Below are 18,040 nucleotides of genomic sequence, written 5' to 3' on the forward strand. Positions count from 1 at the left end.
CAATATTCAAAGTGGGTAGGTTCATCTTTGTAAATTTCACAGTAACAGGCAGGTCTCAGTGATGAAAGTCATTTAAATTAAATTATTTATGCAGATATATGAAACCAAATGAATTTCATGGCAGCAATACTAGAAGCTAGAGATGTGGGCAGCATGGGGCACATGGATGCTCAGAAAGCGAGCCAGCAGCCCCACACCCCTCAGGGATGGCGGGTTAGACTAGGGGAGGGATCAGAGACACACCCCCAACCCACATCATACGCCCTGGGCCAAGCCAGTGGTGTCTCCTACCCACAGTGAGCACAGAGAGAGACCCTGTCTCAAAAAAAAAAAAGTTTAAGAAAAGAACCTCTAGGTCACAAAGATTTCAAAATTCAACAAGAATCAATCAATACTTCTGACCTCTACCCATGTGGGTAAAGTCACCAGGTTGGGAGTTACCACTTGGACAGTCCACAGGTGGAAATGCCCACAGCACAGCCGTCGAGTTCTCAGCTCTCCATGTGGTCTCATCTCTCGGGTCTTCGTTCAGAGTTGAAAGTCATGATGCATGAGCAAGACTTCCCAAAAGAGTCTGCAAAGTTGTCCTTTTCGCCAAACTGGAAGGGCTGAATGGGACCATTCTACAGCCTTAGACATGTCCCGTATTGCTGGAGACAGACAGAAGAGTGGCGATGGTGTACACAGGAGTGTGTGTGCCCCACCACGCCCATCTCCAGCATCCAGGAAGCCCCTTTTCCAGGCAGCAGAGGGTGCAGGGACTGGGGCCAGGACTCAGGATGAAAGGAACATGGCCCCTGCCCTCAAGGCCTCCGACAGAGAGGAGACCAGATGCCAGGGCATGAAGCCCAAAGAAGTTCACGATGGAGGAAAGTCTGAGCTATGAGGGACACAGCCACCCCCACAGACAGTCAGCAGGGACGAGGTCACCCTTCCCAGAGCCAAGGCAGCCGAGGTCATCAGAAGAAAATGGCAGGCCTTGGTCAGAGAAGGGGAGATGGGGATCTACAAAAATCCTTCCAGCCGAGGACTGCCTGCAGGCGCAGGGCCCAGAAGTGACAAGAAATGACAAAGGGTCCGTCATGACCAGAGGCACAGCAGCCGGGCACTGGAGAGGAAGCTGGAGCAGCCACTCAGAGCCCGCAGACCCCAGCCAGGTCTTCCCAGGAACGAGGGGCCGGCAACGCGGATCTGTAAGCTCAAATCTGCACAGAAACGTGGCCTTCTCCACCCAGGCCTCCAAGCTTATTTGAAGTACTAATCACCATTTCCCTTGATAAAAAGACTGAGCTCGGACCTCCTCCAAATCAACCCTCATATATCCTCCCCTTATGCCCAGCCAGAAGGGAATATCAGGCTTCAGTCTGAGGCAAATGAACACAGCCAATAAATAGTGATCCAGACACTGCTCCGTGGGGGTGAGAGTGGGGCAGCAGGTGGGGCCTCCAGGATGAGGTCAGCGCGGTGCCTGGGCTGGCAATGGCTCCTATCACTCAGGTGGAGGGGGCGGCCAGCAGAGTGGAGCCCAGAGGAATTGCCAGATATGGAGTCCACCTGCACCCCCACAGGAGACGCAGGCCCCAGATAGGGAGTCCACCTGCACCCTCACAGGAGACGCAGGCACCAGATAGGGAGCCACCTACACCCCCACAGGAGATGCAGGCCCCAGATAGGGAGTCCACCTACAACACCACAGGAGATGCAGGCCCCAGATAGGGAGTCCACCTGCACCCCCACAGGAGACGCAGGCCCCAGATAGGGAGTCCACCTACACCCCCACAGGAGACGCAGGCACCAGATAGGGAGTCCACCTGCACCCCCACAGGAGACGCAGGCCCCAGATAGGGAGTCCACCTACACCCCCACAGGAGACGCAGGCCCCAGATAGGGAGCCCACCTGCAACCCCCACAGGAGATGCAGGCCCCAGATAGGGAGTCCGCCTGCACCCCCCACAGGAGACGCAGGCCCCAGATAGGGAGTCACCTGCACCCCCACAGGAGACGCAGGCCCCAGATAGGGAGTCCACCTACACCCCCACAGGAGACGCAGGCTCCAGATAGGGAGTCTGCCTACACCCCCACAGGAGACGCAGGCACCAGATAGGGAGTCACCTGCACCCCCACAGGAGACGCAGGCCCCAGATAGGGAGTCCGCCTGCACCCCCACAGGAGACGCAGGCCCCAGATAGGGAGTCCGCCTACACCCCCACAGGAGACGCAGGCTCCAGATAGGGAGTCTGCCTACACCCCCACAGGAGACGCAGGCACCAGATAGGGAGTCACCTGCACCCCCACAGGAGACGCAGGCCCCAGATAGGGAGTCCGCCTGCACCCCCACAGGAGACGCAGGCACCAGATAGGGAGTCACCTACACCCCCACAGGAGACGCAGGCCCCAGATAGGGAGTCACCTGCACCCACAGAGGAGACGGAGGCCCCAGATAGGGAGTCACCTGCACCCCCACAGGAGACGGAGGCCCCAGATAGGGAGTCACCTACAACACCACAGGAGACGCAGGCCCCAGATAGGGAGTCACCTGCACCCCCACAGGAGATGCAGGCCCCAGATAGGGAGTCACCTGCACCCCCCACAGGAGACGCAGGCACCAGATAGGGAGTCACCTGCACCCCCACAGGAGACGCAGGCCCCAGATAGGGAGTCCACCTACACCCCCACAGGAGACGCAGGCTCCAGATAGGGAGTCACCTGCACCCCCACAGGAGACGCAGGCCCCAGATAGGGAGTCACCTGCACCCCCCACAGGAGACGCAGGCACCAGATAGGGAGTCCGCCTAAACCCCCACAGGAGACGCAGGCTCCAGATAGGGAGTCACCTGCACCCCCACAGGAGACGCAGGCCCCAGATAGGGAGTCCACCTACAACACCACAGGAGACGCAGGCTCCAGATAGGGAGTCACCTGCACCCCCACAGGAGACGCAGGCCCCAGATAGGGAGTCCACCTGCGCTGCTGGGCAGGGCAGGAGCTGAAGGAGTCAAGCCCCTCCGTCGCTCACCTCCCTCCCCTTCTCCCTACTGAGCCTAACTGGGCCACTGAGGTCTTCCCTGTGGTGGCTTCAGCCCAGACAGCTCAGCCTCCAGGGTGAAGAGGGGAGCCATGGGTGGGCAGTGGCCAGACTGGTGTCTGCCTGGGGGGCTCCCCTGCTGGCACTGGCAGGCACGCGGCCCACAGGTGCCATCTGTCATTTGCACCCGAAGGACTGCCTAGGAAGCGAGAGTGTGTGCCCCAGAGACCTGTGCGGGCCAGAGGAAGCCCCGAGAGGCCAGTGAAGACCCCTGAGGAGGAGGGAGCCTGAGGAGGGAGTTCCTGCCCAGGGCTCCGGCAGAGCTCAGAGGGCGACCTGGGAGGCGGCTTGTGTTTTAGCCGAGTCCTCTTCACGGGGCTGGTGAGGAAGGGATTCCCCGCCTAGGGCTCAAGGGATGGTCAGACGCAGGGTGCCCAGCACTGGACAGACGAGGGGGCAACAGTTTCTCAGTCCCACAGGCTCACCACCCAGGGGAGGAAACTTCAGGCCACACAGGGTCACAGGGAGGAAGCTCTCGGGGCAGAGTGAGCCGCAGGGCTGCAGGGGTGGACAGCTCAGGAACAAGAGGGTGGTGTCCGCGGGCCCCGCAGGGGGATGGGGTGAGCTGCTCTGAATCATCCTGCGGGCCAGCAGGGAGCCGGAACCTTTGCTCGGGGATGACAGGCTGGGCTGTGTGGCTGAGAGCCCCTGTCCTCAGGAGCAGAGGGGGAGGGGAGCCAGCAGTGATGTCCCCCCACCCCCATGTCCCCAGACACCAAGGCAGCACACACGGCACCTGGGGCCTTCACTTGCCCCCTGTTCCTCCTCCGCCTCTTCCTTCGGCAGCTTTCCCACCTTTCCTAGACCACCTCCACCATCAGACCCCACCCACAGACCACGTGCCAGGTTTCCAGTCCCATTCCACAAGCTTAGGGGACACAGTCGGTCAGACCCACTTGGCTGACCTGAAGCCCCTCTAGGGTAGCCTCCCTGGATTTTATCCACTTTCTCCAGACACATTCCAGGGGAAAAGAAACACAGAATGTTAATGACACTAGAAAAACAAAATCAAACAGTGGGTGTTGTGATTACATCAGCATGCTAAATATTAGAAAACAGCTGTGTTCTTCACCCTGTGCTAGACATCAGAATTCAGGTTACTGGTGTGTGCGCACACGGGGCTGGAACGCTCACATGAAAGATTCTGATGCTTTGGGGCAGATAGTCCCTTCTAGTCCTATTACAAGGCAGCCCTGAAGTGTGTACGGAGCACCAGCTGCGTCCCTTTGTACTTGCTGAGAATGTTTGAGTGGGACGTTTCCTCCAGCACCGGCTCTGCATGCAACTCTGACTCAGGAGACAGAGACCAAGAGCCCTCAGAACTGGCGGTAACTTTCAACGATTCCGTTGGAACTTGCAGTCCCTTGAGTTTTTAATCATTTGAAGCTCATCTTTTTTGAAATGTCTGAATGTATGAATGTGTTCCCTGAGAGAATAAATTCTGTTCTCCAAATGGTAGAAAATAGTCACGAAAATAGTTTACTTTAAGATAAATAACTAAACAATGTATTCCACTAATGAAGTCATTGAATTTAACGTCCTTTTTGGTTCTATTTTTAAAATTAGTACGGATTTTTTTTTAATCAGTGGAGAAATATGAACTATGCATCAGAGCTGCCAGCTCTCTGGACGGCCAAGTCAGTTCAGCGTTCCAGCCCTCTCCCCAGGTGACTGGCCGCTCAAGTAAATAAAAACAGGTCTGATCCTAAAGCAAACAGAAAGCATCGATCTCTTTGAGCAGGTGTCACAGAGGGTTTTCTTAGAGATGTTTCTTTGCACATCCCCTGATGGCCAGTTTGTGAGCCGAGTTGCTCCCAAATAAAAAAGTCCACTGACTCAGTGGAAGCTTGGCCAGGAAGCTGGGCCTGCTGGAGGCATCACTAGGCTCCGCTGCAGCCTCTCCTGATGGTTCTGCAGACAGGGCTCCCGGCCCCAGCCTGTGCTGGGCCTCCAGGGCAAGTTCTGGGGACATCTCATTGCCCTCCCAGCATGGCAGCCCAATTCGAAGCATGCACGGGTGTGGCTGCCTTTTTCTGTTCGCTGGGTATCCACAATGCTCTATGAAGCACGGCTCTAAGGACCATGACCAAACGCTCTATGTGCACTGCCCTCTCCTGCCTCTGCTCCTCCACCAGAACGGGAGGGAAGGGCATCCTCTCCCCTCCATTCATGTGCTAGACACATGCGCTCCCAGGCCCGTAGGTTTCCTCAGCTGCAGCGGGAGGAAACAGACTCCCCAAAACACAGGCTTCTTCCCACATCTTGCTTTTCTTCTGCAGGCACAAGTTACGCTTACTAACAAATAAACTTCCCTTCAGTTCCATTTCTGCATAACTTATAAAAGTATTTCCCACAGCAGTAGCTGAATTCTGCCTACTCCAGGAATATGTTTGCATTTAAGCTGTAACCAGGACCAGAGTAGGGAAATGCACTTGGAAGTAAAGTGATGAAGTCGGGGGCGTATTTTTTTTTAATTATACTTTAAGTTCTAGGGCACATGTGCACAACGTGCAGGTTTGATACATAGGTATACATGTGCCATGTTGGTTTGCTGCACCCATCAACTCATCATTTACATTAGGTATTTCTCCTAATGCTATCCCTTCCCCAGGCCCCCACCCTGCGACAGGCACCAGTGTGTGATATTCCCTGCCCTGTGTCCAAGTGATCTCATTGTTCAGTTCCCACCTATGAGTGAGAACATGCGGTGTTTGGTTTTCTGTCCTTGTGATAGTTTGCTGAGAATGATGGTTTCCAGCTTCATCCATTTCCCTGCAAAGGACATGAACTCATCCTTTTTTATGGCTGCATAGTATTCCATGGTGTATATGTGCCACATTTTCTTAATCCAGTCTATCATTGATGGACATTTGGGTTGGCTCCAAGTCTTTGCTATTGTGAATAGTACCACAGTAAACATACGTGTGCATGTGCCTTTATAGTAGCGTGATTTATAATCCTTTGGGTATATACTCAGTAATGCGATTGCTGGGTCAAATGGTATTTCTAGTTCTAGATCCTTGAGGAATCGCCACACTGTCTTCCACAATGGTTGAACCAATTTACACTCCCACCAACAGTGTAAAAGCGTTCCTATTTCTCCACATCCTCTCCAGCATCGGTTGTTTCCTGACTTTTTACTGATTCCCAATCTAACTGGCATGAGATGGTATCTCATTGTGGTTTTGATCTGCATTTATCTGATGAGCAGTGATGAGCATTTTTCCATATGTTTGTTGGCCATTTGTATATCTTCTTTTGAGAAATGTCTATTCATGACCTTTACCCACTTTTTAATGGAATTATTTGGTGTTTTTCTTGGTGATTTGTCTGAGTTCCTTGTAAATTCTGGATGTTAATCCTTTGTCGGATGTGTAGTTTGCAAATATTTCTCCCACTCTGTAAGTTGTCTGTTCTGCTGATTATTTCTTTTGCTTTGCAGAAGCTTTTTAGTTTAATTAGGTCCCATCTATTTATGTTTATTTTTGTTACATTTACTTTTGAGGTCTTAGTCACGAATTATTTGCCTAGGCTGATGTCTAGAAGAGTTTTTCCATTGTTATCTTCTAGAATTTTTATAGTTTCAGGTCTTATATTTAAGTCTTTGACCCATCTTGAGCTGATTTTTGTATAGGTGAAAGATAGGGATCTAGTTTCATTCTTCTGCATACAGCTATCCAATTTTCCCAGCACCATTTATTGAATAGGGTGTCTTTTCCCCAGTTTATGTTTTTGTTTGCTTTGTCAAAGATCAGTTAGCTGTACCTATTTGGCTTCATTTCTGGGTTCTCTATTCTATTCCATTGGTCTATGTGCCTACTTTTATACCAGTACCATGCTGTTTTGGTTTCTATAGCCTTGTAGTATAATTTGAAGTCTGCTAATCTGATGCCTCCAGATTTGTTCTTTTTGCTTAGGATGGCTTTGGCTATTAGGTCTCTTCTTCGGTTCCATATGAATTTTAGGATTTTTTTTTCTAATTCTGGGAAAAATGATGATGGTATTTTGATGGGAATTGCATTGAATCTATGGATTGCTCTGAGTAGTATGGTCATTTTCACAATATTGATTCTTCCAATCCACGAACATGGGATGCATTTTCATTTGTTTGTGTCATCTATTATTTCTTTCAGCAGTGTTTTGTAGTTCTCCTTGTAGAGATCTTTCACCTCCTTGGTTAGGTGTATACTTAGGTTTTTTGGTTTTTTGTGGGAGTTTTTTTTTTTTTTGCAGCTATTGTAAAGGGATTGAGTTCTTGATTTGATTCTCAGCTTCGTTGTTGTTGGTGCTACTGATTTGTGTACACTGCTTTGGTAACCTGAGACTTTACTGAATTCGTTTATCAAATCCAAGAGTCTTTTGGGGGAGTCTTTAGGATTTTCTAGGTATATAATCATATCGTCAGCAAACAGTGATATTTTGACTTCCTCTTTTCCAATAATCTTTCTCTTGCGTTCTTGCTCTGGCTAGGGCTTCCAGAACTATGTTGAATAGAAGTGGTGAGAGTGGGCATCCTTGTCTTGTTCCTATTCTCAGGGGGAGTGCTTCGACCTTCTCCCCATTCAGTATGATGCTGGCTGTGGGTTTGTCATAGATGCCAATGCCACTTACTTTTCTTCTGCCAGAAGTGCTGGCTCATCCCACAACCGAAGAGAACTTCCCATCCACACGTTCGCTGCCGCAGCTTCCTACTTTACTCGCGTCTCCCTCCTGAGGAATCCAGGGCATAAGGAGGGAAGAGCCAAGGGCCAGGTCTGGCCGGGATTCCAGGGCTGCACTCCAGGGCATGGACTTCCCACCTGGGATCTCAGGGGAATCACCAGCTGCACCCACCAGGAAACAGGGAGGCAGGTCTGAAGCCAGCAATCCGACCAGGAGAGTCCAAATCGGGCTCACAGAACACTGATGTGGGCCAGCTGCCCACAGGGGTTCCTGTCCCGGCCACTGCACCTTTGCTGGGACACAGTAGGTCCTTGAGGCAGTCCCTCCACTGGGGACAGTGCCAGCAGCCTGCACTGTCACCCCAGGCAGCACCTTGCATTCTGGCCATGACATTTTTGGTGATAACTAAGAGCCATCCTAAAAGCCTAGAACTGAGATTTGGAGGAGGCAGGATTTCGAATGGCCTGCAGTGGGCCCAGGATCCCAGCACCCCCACCCTGGCAGGAAGCTCCCCGGGGCAGCCCCACTCCAGGGAGCTCCTCTGAATCCCCCTCAGTGTGAGTCTGCACCAGCTGGCAAGCCTCCTGCAGGCCACGACAGCCACTGGGGAAGCCACAAAGACACTGTGTGACTCTAGACTTCACCTCCCAAACCACGTTCATCAGCTCCCACACCCCCTCCCCAGCAACTCGACTGGGTCAAGTCCTCCTCGACTCGCCCACCCTCACCCCCACATCCCACGGAGTTCCATGTCCATGCCACCAGAACCTTCTGGGTCAAGCCCTGCTCTCCCCCAGATGGCTCCAGCTTGTTCCTCACCTGTGCAATGTGCCTAGGACCAGACAATGCTCTTGTCAACGCCACTTCTCATTGTGATCCCCCTGCTCAAAACGATTCCAGTCATCAAAGGTCAACAGCCCCACCTAAAATCCAGGACGACTTTACGTCCGCCCAACGCAGAAGGTTTGCGTAAATCACCACGCAAGCCCTGCAGCATTCCTCTATCAGAGAAGACGTGTGTGAGGCTATCATCGCTCTAGGAAAGAATGCTCATAACTTTAAGGGAAAAAAATGCATTCGGGGCACCTCACAGTTTTTTTGTTGTTTATTTATTTGTTTGTTTGTTTGTCTATTTGTTTGTTTGTTTTTGAGACATAGTCTCGCTCTGTTGCCCAGGCTGGAGTGCAATGGCGTGATCTCAGCTCACTGCAACCTCCACCTCCCGGGTTCAAGCGATTCTCCTGCCTCAGCCTCCCAAGTACCTGGGATTACAGGCATGCACCACAACACCCGGGGAATTTTTTGAATTTTTAGTAGAGATGGGGTTTCACCATCTTGGCCAGGCTGGTCTTGAACTCCTGACATAAGGTGATCTGCCCTCCTTGGCCTCTCAAAGTGCTGGGATGACAGGCATGAGCCACCATGTCCAGCCCACCTCATAGTTTTAAATGGCCCTTGCTGCTCCATTGTTCATGTCTGCAGAACTGGGGACGGCACCAGGCTGGGCCGTGCTGCTGCGCCTGCTCCAGGGTTGAGTGTCACTGCAGCTTGGCTCATCCCGGGCAGCGGCTGTTCCTTCAGTTTGGCTCTGGCATGAGGAAGCAGCGGCTGCAAGAGTCCCTGGGTCCCTGGCTGCAGGCGTGTGCCTGACCCAGGGCCCTGCGGTTGAGCTCTGAAACCTGTTATGGTTGCCATCCAATGAACAGGCAACCAGGTGCAGGTGCTGAGGGGACACTGGGCTGACGATGGGCTGTGGAGGGTCAGCGGGTCCTGGGCACCAGCCCTCTGTGCACAGAATCACGTGCACCTGCTGGGGTTGCCCACTCCACTGACCGCATCCACCCACAGCACTGTGAGCTCAGCACATCCAGGGCAGCTCTCAAAACCCTGGCTGGCAGCCAGGCCAGATCCCAGACCACCATGTCCACTTAGACATCAAAGAGTTTCAGAGCTGACAGGAGGCAGGAGCCAAGCTGGAGGACGGATGCTGCCCTCAGACCCTACTGAGGCTGTAATGGTCACATGAGGCTCACCACCCTGCCAGCCTCGGGCTGTATTCCCTGAATCTAGGATGTGGACATGGATTCCAGGTGGGACATGGAGGTGGCTTTAGCTAAGCCTGACTCACTCCTAGAGTGCTGCCAGGTCCCTGCCCCACGCCCTGCCCTCCCTCCACTTCCTCTGAGAGAAGGTCTCTGTTTGCACCTCTATACCTCTTGCTCATCTCTCCTTCAACAAAGGGAGAGCAGGTGCGGGCTTCCAGCTTTCTGGAAAGAATAGGATTTAGAGAGAATTCAATAACACTTTCTGTTTTTGCCAGGTTCACATTTTTTCCCTAAAAAGAAAGCCAGGATGGCTTGCCATGAACGCAGGGCAACCATCAACAGGTACCTCTTTACCCGCCACCTCTCCTTTACTCGCCATCACACTCAACTCACAATAGCCCAGGCGTGGCTCCTGCATGCTCAGGGAGCGTGGGCTCCATGGAGGCCCTCAGGCCGGCTGGTGAACGGGAAGGCAACGGCCCCTGACCTGGTGGAGCCAAGAGCAAGCCCCGCCCAGAAGGGAGCTACATGCTGTGCTAACAGGGGACGAGGGCTATGGGGAAACGGGGACCTGGAGGGCGGGGCGCAGAGAGAACAAGGAGAGAACCAGAGACCTGGGGCAGCTGCAGAGTTCACCACGCTTGTGCGGCTGGGAGTGCAGCCCTGGGGAAGCCGGTCCCACAGAGAGGCAGGGGTGTAAACTTGCCTTCCTATGTTCCCCAGTCCAGCTCAGTGTACCACATGGACATTGGTTTATTTGCAAGGTGACATTTGCTCCGCGCGGCTGTGCTCTGAGCACTGTGTGTGGGCCTTGCCCTGATTGAGCAAAGCCCTGAGGCTCCTCCGGGACAAAGGAAAACAACAAGGAACCAATCTGGAATCAAGAAGAGATAAAAAGGGATGGACAGTGGACTGCCGAGTGCCCGGGGAAGAGCCCAGTCTCTCCTGGCCAAACGTGGAAGCTGAAGCCGTGCTGGGGAGGCCTGTGCAGTGGCTGGTGCAGGCCTCCCGGGTCTGTCACTTCAGATGCCCTTCCCCTATGCCAGCAGGGATGAGGCTGACCTGAGCTGACCCAGCATCCTCAGCCCCTTCCATGAGCCATGCAGCCCGGCCTCGGGTTTCAGAAATAGGTGCTGCCAGTCTCCCTTGGAGAGAACATGATGGAGCATCGCCTCTGGGGCAGCTGGGAGCAGAGGGAGAGGGCCTGGAGAAGAGCGGAGAGAGGCAGGAAGGAGGGGAGCGGAGAACTGGAAGGGAACACTCTATACCTGCTCTGCCACCACCTCCGGGCTCCAACCAGACAGGCCCAGCCTCCTGCCCTGATAGGCTTCAGCCCACAAAGCCCAGACTGGGAGACCCCAGGCGCCGCGTGGAGGTGTGGAGAAGATGGGTGTGCACACCTGGGAGCTTTCGCAACCAGCCCCGTTGACCAGCAGGCCCGGCCTGGGCACCCCAAAAAGTCTGGGTCATGCTTTTTCATGAAAAAGAAGGTAGAAACAGAAGAGACTAAAGAGAAAAACCCCCAAATGAAACGCACCAGCCTTGGTTGGATCCTGGTTCAATGGAAAGGGTCATAAAAAATTGATTTGCCCAGTTGGGGCGATCTGAATTCAGATTTAAGGAATTCTCACTAATTTCCTTAGGCAGGATCACAGGGACTGGGCCGTGCATGAGAAAGCTGTACTTTTGGGGAGGCACAGGCAGAAAGTCATGCTGTGGGTCACTTTCAAATGGCTCAACAAAAAGAAAATGCTCTATTCACACAAATGTGGAAAAGCAAAGATGGCAAAAGGCTAGCGTCTGTGGGTTCACCTGGCTTGGCCTTCACCTCATTGAGAGCCTGAATTCTCCCGAATGAAAGACTAGGGAAAACCCCACATTTGTTCATATTTTGATTTCCCTCTTGAGCACATACCTGACCAACAGCCAATCCCAACCTCCTTGGATGGCAGGTTCCCACCGTGCTATGCACTGGACAGCGGGTGTCACATGAATTGTGGTGCAGCAGCAGCTTCCAAGAGAGTCCAGTTCTCATAGCCCCTGTGAGTCATCGTGCAAATCCTTGGGGACTGCTTTTCTTGTTATTCAGACATAATTCACATGCATGAAATGCACCCTTCAAGTTGCACAGCTCAGTGGCATTTACTGCACTTCCCAGGCCATGCGACTGCCCCAAGCTCCAGTTCCAGAACATTCTCATTCCCCAAAAGAAATCCCATGCCCATTGGCAGTTCCATTCTAGGAGTTTTCCCTCGCCCTCCAGAAACCCTGGGATGGGCCAGGACGTCCCCCGTGCCCAGGCTGGTCCCCACCCCATCGTTGAGTGCTGGCATCTGTGCACCCAGAGAAGGCTCTACTGGGCAGACGGAAGCCCATTGTGAGTAGAGGTCAGCCCAGCACAATGACCACTTGATGATGGAGGAGCTCAGGGAGAGCCCAGCACAGCTCACCCCCTCTCAGAGGGACAGCCCTGGAGGCCGAGCAGGAGAGCACCCACTCTGTGACATCACCCTACTGGGACACGCCCTTTGCACATCGCAGCTGGGGACACAGAGGCTGAAAGAGGCGCTGCCTGCCCAAGGCCCTGGCGTGTGAAGCAGGTGTTCAGACCTGTGGGCTCCTCCTGCAGCCCATGGGCGCTCACCAGCCTTTGCAGGGACTCACGGCCCTCAGGAGCCCCTGCTGGTCCATGACCAGGGCCTGGCAAAGGTTGCAGTTGTGGCCACAGCTCTCATCCCCACCCACACACCCACCTGAGAGGGACATGGAAACCTATTCCAGAAGGCAGTTTTCCCCAAGGGACTGTCAGCGCAAACCTTTGTCTTTCTCACAGATTTCAATAAAGTGCAGCGAGGTGGGAGAGGCTTGCAGACAGCTCCCGCTGCACCAGCTGCCCTGTCCAGCCCACAGCAGCCCCAGGCCCTGCCCCCTGAGGCCTCCATTGGACACTCAAGGCCAAACCAGCTGCCCTGTCCAGCCCACAGCAGTCCCAGGCCCTGCTCCCTGAGGCCTCCATTGGACACTCAAGGCCAAACCAGCTGCCCTGTCCAGCCCACAGCAGTCCCAGACCCTGCCCCCTGAGGCCTCCATTGGACACTCAACGCCAAGTTCACCTTTGTCAGACCTAGGCCTGGGGAGCAACTCAAAGTCACAGTAAAACCAAAAGGCCACCGCACAGCCTGGCTCCTTCCAGCAACAGGGTGAGAGGGGCCCATTGCCTGTTCCGCCAGGGAAGCCCCAAATGTGTCATCCCTCCCTGACAGGGACAGCAGCCTAGGGCAGTCCTGAGTCCCTACCAAAATTAGGGAGCTGGAGGCCCAGGAAGCCTCAGGGTGAGGGCCTGGGGAGTGGCCCCCTTGCCTCAGAGACCACCGGGAGGGTATGTGGAGCCACAGAGCATGGGCACGACCACGGAGGTCGAGGAGGGCCTTGCTGGGTGATGGGGAGGGCACAGGCTGACTCTGGGCCCCAGAACACCCACCCCACAGACTGGACAGTCATCCAAGGAACATTTAAAAGGCCAGTTGTGTGGCCACATGCCAGCCCAGTGTGCTGCTGCCCCGGGACAGCCCTCTGTGTGCAAATACCCCCACAGGTGACCCCAGCACAGCTCACTGTGCTGGAGTCCTCGGGGCAGCCCTCTGTGTACCCACACCCCCATGGGTGACCCTGATATAGCTTACTCAGCTACAACCCCAGGGACAGCCCTCTGTGTGCCAACTCCCCCACAGGTGATTCCGATACAAGGTTCTGGAGCCAGGACCAAGACTAGGACATTAGTGAAATTCCCCACAGGAAACTCCACAGCCTCCAGGTTAAAGCCGTGTCTTCACAGCCTCAGCCCAGAACCTGGCAGCCAGAGGGCATCAAGGGTGCCTTAGTATCAAATCTAAGTTTCTGAAATATGATACAAAATTATTCACAATACAGAAAAACTAAAATACTAGCCATTTGAAAAGAGAAAAGCCATCAAAGGCACCACTCTCAAGATGACATAGACGTTAGAATCATCAAAGACTTTAAAACAGCTAAGATATCCATCTTCCATGAAGTAAGGCTAAATGCTCATAAAATGAATGGCAAGATAGAAATTGTCAACAGAAAAATGGAAGCTACATTGAAGAACCAAATGGAAATTTTAGAACTTAAAAATATAATAATCGAAATAAAGAATTCACTGGATGTCATTATAGCAGAATGGAGATGACACAGGAAATTATTGGTAAACTTGAAGACAAATCAATAGAAATTATCCAATCTGATTAAAAGAAAAAAAGACAAAGTCTCACGGCCTCTGAAAAACATCAAAAAGTCTAACATATTGTTGAAATCTCAGAATGAGGGAATAGGCCAGGCACAATGGCTGGTGTTTGTAACCTCAACACTTTGGGAGGCTGAGTCTGGAAGATCGTTGAGCCCAGGAGTTAGAGAGCAGCCTGGGCAACAGAGTGAGACCCCCATCTCTACAAAAACATTTTTTAAAACAATTAGCCAGCTGTGGTGGACTACAACATGCCTGTAGTCCCAGCTACTTGGGAGGCTGAGGTGGGAGGATGACTTGAACCTGGGATGTCAAGGTTGCAGTGAGCTGTAGTCATGCCGCTGCACTCCAGCCTGGGTAATGGAGTGAGGATCTGTCTCAAAAAATAAAAATAAAAAAGAATGAGAAAAAAATGGTACAAATATATATACACATATATGATAAAATAATAAATTAAAACTTCCCAAACTGGGAAAAAGAAAAAAAATTAGAGATTCAAGAATCTCAGTAAATCCCAGATAAAATAAACTCAAAGAAAACCACACCGAGGCACATCATAATAAAATTACTGAAAACCAAAGATACAAAAAAAAAATTTAAGTAGAGTAAAGACATATTATGTATAGGGCACTACCAAACTGAATAACGGCAGATTTCTCATCAGAAATCGTGGGGGCCAGAAGACAGAGATGCAACCACTTAAAGTGCTGAAAGAAAAGAACTGTCAACCTAGGGTTCTACCTCCAGAGAAAGTATCCTTCAGAGATTAAAATAAAACAGAGACATTTTAAGAGAAGCAAAGAGAATTTGTCACCAGAAGACCTGCTCTAAAGAAATGCTAAAGGAAGTTCTTCAGAGAGAAGGAAAGGAATCCCAGAAGGAAGTGAAGCTTCAAGAATTACCCATTCAGGCTGTTTCCTCCTCTTACATACTTTAAAATATGTATGATTAAAAGAAATATACATGAGAAAAACCTTGCTCTGTGGAAATGTAGCTGTAATATATAAGGTAACTACAAAACACAAAGGGAAGAGTAAAGGGCCTTACATGGCTATAAGGTTTCTACATTTCACTTAATGTGGTAAAATATTAATTTTCAGTAAACTTTGAAAAGATAAGTGTGTGTGTGTACATATACACATATATATGCGTGTATATATGCATGTGTGTATGTGTGTGTGTAGTTATCCCTAGACCAATCACTTAAAAACTTACACAAGTAGATATAATTAAAAGCAAATAAGTACATTAAAATACAACGCAAAATAAATATTCAAATAACCCAAAATAAGGCAGGAAAATGGAAACAGAAAACAAAGGCAAAGGAAATAAGTAGCACAAAAAATACAATAGTAGAGGTAAATCCAATGATCAATAATTATATTAAAATAAAATGGTCAAGAATACCAATTAAAAGACAGATATTGTCAAATTGATTTTTTATTAGCTTTTGGAGTACAGGTGTTTTTTGGTTACATGGATGAATTCTATAGTGGTGAATTCTGAGATTTTAGTGCACCTTCCAGCTGAGCAGTGTATACTGTACCCAATATGTAATCTTTTACTCCTCACCCCCCTCCCAACCTGGTCCCCCAGCCTCCAAAGTCCATTATATCACTCTGTATGTTTTTATGTCCTCGTAGCTTAGCTCCCAGTTATAAGTGTGAACATACAGTATTTGTTTTTCATTCTTCAGATACTTCACTTCAGCCAACTACATGCTGTCTAAAAGCCCACTTTAAATATGATGATACAGGTTAAAAGAAAAGGATTTTTAAAATATGATTAAAACACTAGTCAAATGAAAGCTGGAGTAGTTATATTAATATCACACAAAACAGAATTCAGAACAAGAAAAATTACCAGACACAACAAGACATATCACATGATCATAAAAAGCTCAATTCACTGAGAAGACATAGCAATTCTAAATGTATATATACCTAAGAACAGAGCTGCAAAATTCATGAAGCAAAAACTTATTGAACTGAAAGGAAAGATAGACAAATCTGAAATTATATTTTGAGATTTCAAAACTTCTCTCTCAGTGATCAATAAAACAAGTAAAGAGAAAAACAGCAAATATATAGAAAATTTGAACACCATCATCAACCAACTTGACTGAACTGGCATTTATAGAACACATTATCCAGAAACAGCAAAATACAAACTCTTTTCAAGTGTACATAAAGCATTTGCCAAACTGCATTCTGGATCATAAAACAGCCACCACAAATTTAAAAGAATGGAAATTCAGCTGGGTCTGGTGGCTTATGCCTATAATTCCAGCACTTTGGGAGGCTAAGGCAGGCAGATTGCTTCAACTCAGGAGTTTGAGACCAGCTTGGGTAACATGGCAAAACCCTGTCTCTACAAAAAATACAAAAATTAGCCAAGTGTGGTGACACATGCTTGTAGTCCCAACTACTTGGGGGCCTGAGGCAAGAGGATCACTGCAGTCCAGGAAGTCAAGGCTGCAGTGAGCCGTGTTCATGCCACTGCACTCCAGCCAGGCGACAAAGTGAGACCTTGTCTCCAAAAAATAAAAATAAAAGAACACCTATATAAATGGAAAAACATACCATGATCATGGACTGGAATACTCGATTTAGTTAAGACATCAATTCTTCCCAAAATGATCTATAAATTTAATACAATTCCAAATGAACTCCCAATAAGATTTCTTATAGACATGCTGATGCTGCTTCTAAAATTTATATATTTTTGAAAAAGAACAAAGCTGGCAGACTCACAATGCCATATTTTTACTTACTTTAAACATGACTGATTAAGATAGTGTAATGTTGGTGAAAGGGTAGACATATAGATCAATGGATCCGAATAGAGTCAAGAAATAGACCTACACACACGGTCAATCAATTTTGACAAAAGTGCAAAGACAATTCAATGGGGAAAGAATTGTGTTTTCAGCAAATATTTCTGGGAAATTTGAACACTTATACATACAAAAAATGAACTTCACCCTATATCTTACACCTTATACAAAAATTAACTCAAAATAGATCATGGACTTAAGCATCATTTGAAAATCTATAATACTCTTAAAAGAGAAGATAGAAAAAAATATAACTTTTGAGGTTAGGCAAAAAGCCATTGAATGAGACACCAAAAGCATAATCCCTATGAAGTTGGTAAACTGGACTTTGTCAAAATTAGAAATATCTACTCTTTGAAAGATACTGTTAAGAGAACAAAAAGATAAGTCAGATGAGGCGAAAATATTTTCAAATCATATCTGATAAATAATTTGTATTCAGAATATATAAATAACTCTCTACCTCAATCATGAGAAATCTAACAACCCAGGTATTCTTTTTATATGTTTTTCTATTATAAACAGAGACAGAGTCTCACTTTGTCATCCAGACTGGTCTTGAACTCCTGGGCTCAAGCAATCCTCTTGCCTCGGCCTCCCAAAGTGTTGAGATTACAGGTGTGAGCCCCTGCGCCTGGCACAGGTCTCTTTAATGGCAAAAAATTTAAACACATACTTTGCAAAGACGATACGCAGATAACAGAATAAGCACATAGACAGTGATGGTTTCTCTTGCCCTTTCACTGAAGACTGGCCTCCCAAGGCAATATAAGCAGTCCTGTGGTCTGCCGGTGCCTGCCCCGGTGTAGCCCCTCTGTCCCCAGATCCCCCCCAGTTGCTGTCCCTGCACATACATCCAAGCTGGCCGGGAAGCTCCTGCCACAGTGATGAAGGGGAAAGATTTATGCAAGTCCAGAGGCGTGGTACACAAGCTAAGCAGACGGACTTAAGCACCCACTTAAATGTCTGAAATGGCATGCTCCTCTGTGGCCTTTTCTCTGACAAGCGGGATTTATGAGCTTGGGCAAAATACATCAGTAAGAAGGCCACGTTTGTAAAACATGGTTCCTTTGTTGGAGGACAGAACACTGGCGTCTGAATTCATAACACTCAAACTTCACCTGCCTGCTTCCTTCCCAGGGCTCCCACAC

At 49.8% G+C, this 18,040-nt stretch overlaps 3 annotated features.

Annotated features, from left to right (window-relative positions):
• Window positions 1,335-2,322: an enhancer, noted in NCBI's record as "H3K27ac-H3K4me1 hESC enhancer chr10:133655059-133656046 (GRCh37/hg19 assembly coordinates)". NCBI's record gives its function as "activates a minimal SCP1, AML or CMV promoter by ChIP-STARR-seq in primed H9 embryonic stem cells {active_cell/tissue: H9 hESC(primed)}" and the evidence as "EXISTENCE:reporter gene assay evidence [ECO:0000049][PMID:30033119]".
• Window positions 2,323-3,310: an enhancer, noted in NCBI's record as "H3K27ac-H3K4me1 hESC enhancer chr10:133656047-133657034 (GRCh37/hg19 assembly coordinates)". NCBI's record gives its function as "activates a minimal SCP1, AML or CMV promoter by ChIP-STARR-seq in naive and primed H9 embryonic stem cells {active_cell/tissue: H9 hESC(naive and primed)}" and the evidence as "EXISTENCE:reporter gene assay evidence [ECO:0000049][PMID:30033119]".
• Window positions 3,311-4,296: an enhancer, noted in NCBI's record as "H3K27ac-H3K4me1 hESC enhancer chr10:133657035-133658020 (GRCh37/hg19 assembly coordinates)". NCBI's record gives its function as "activates a minimal SCP1, AML or CMV promoter by ChIP-STARR-seq in naive and primed H9 embryonic stem cells {active_cell/tissue: H9 hESC(naive and primed)}" and the evidence as "EXISTENCE:reporter gene assay evidence [ECO:0000049][PMID:30033119]".

This window comes from Homo sapiens, chromosome 10 (genome assembly GCF_000001405.40).
Source record: "Homo sapiens chromosome 10, GRCh38.p14 Primary Assembly".
In the NCBI taxonomy this organism is placed as follows: domain Eukaryota; kingdom Metazoa; phylum Chordata; class Mammalia; order Primates; family Hominidae; genus Homo; species Homo sapiens.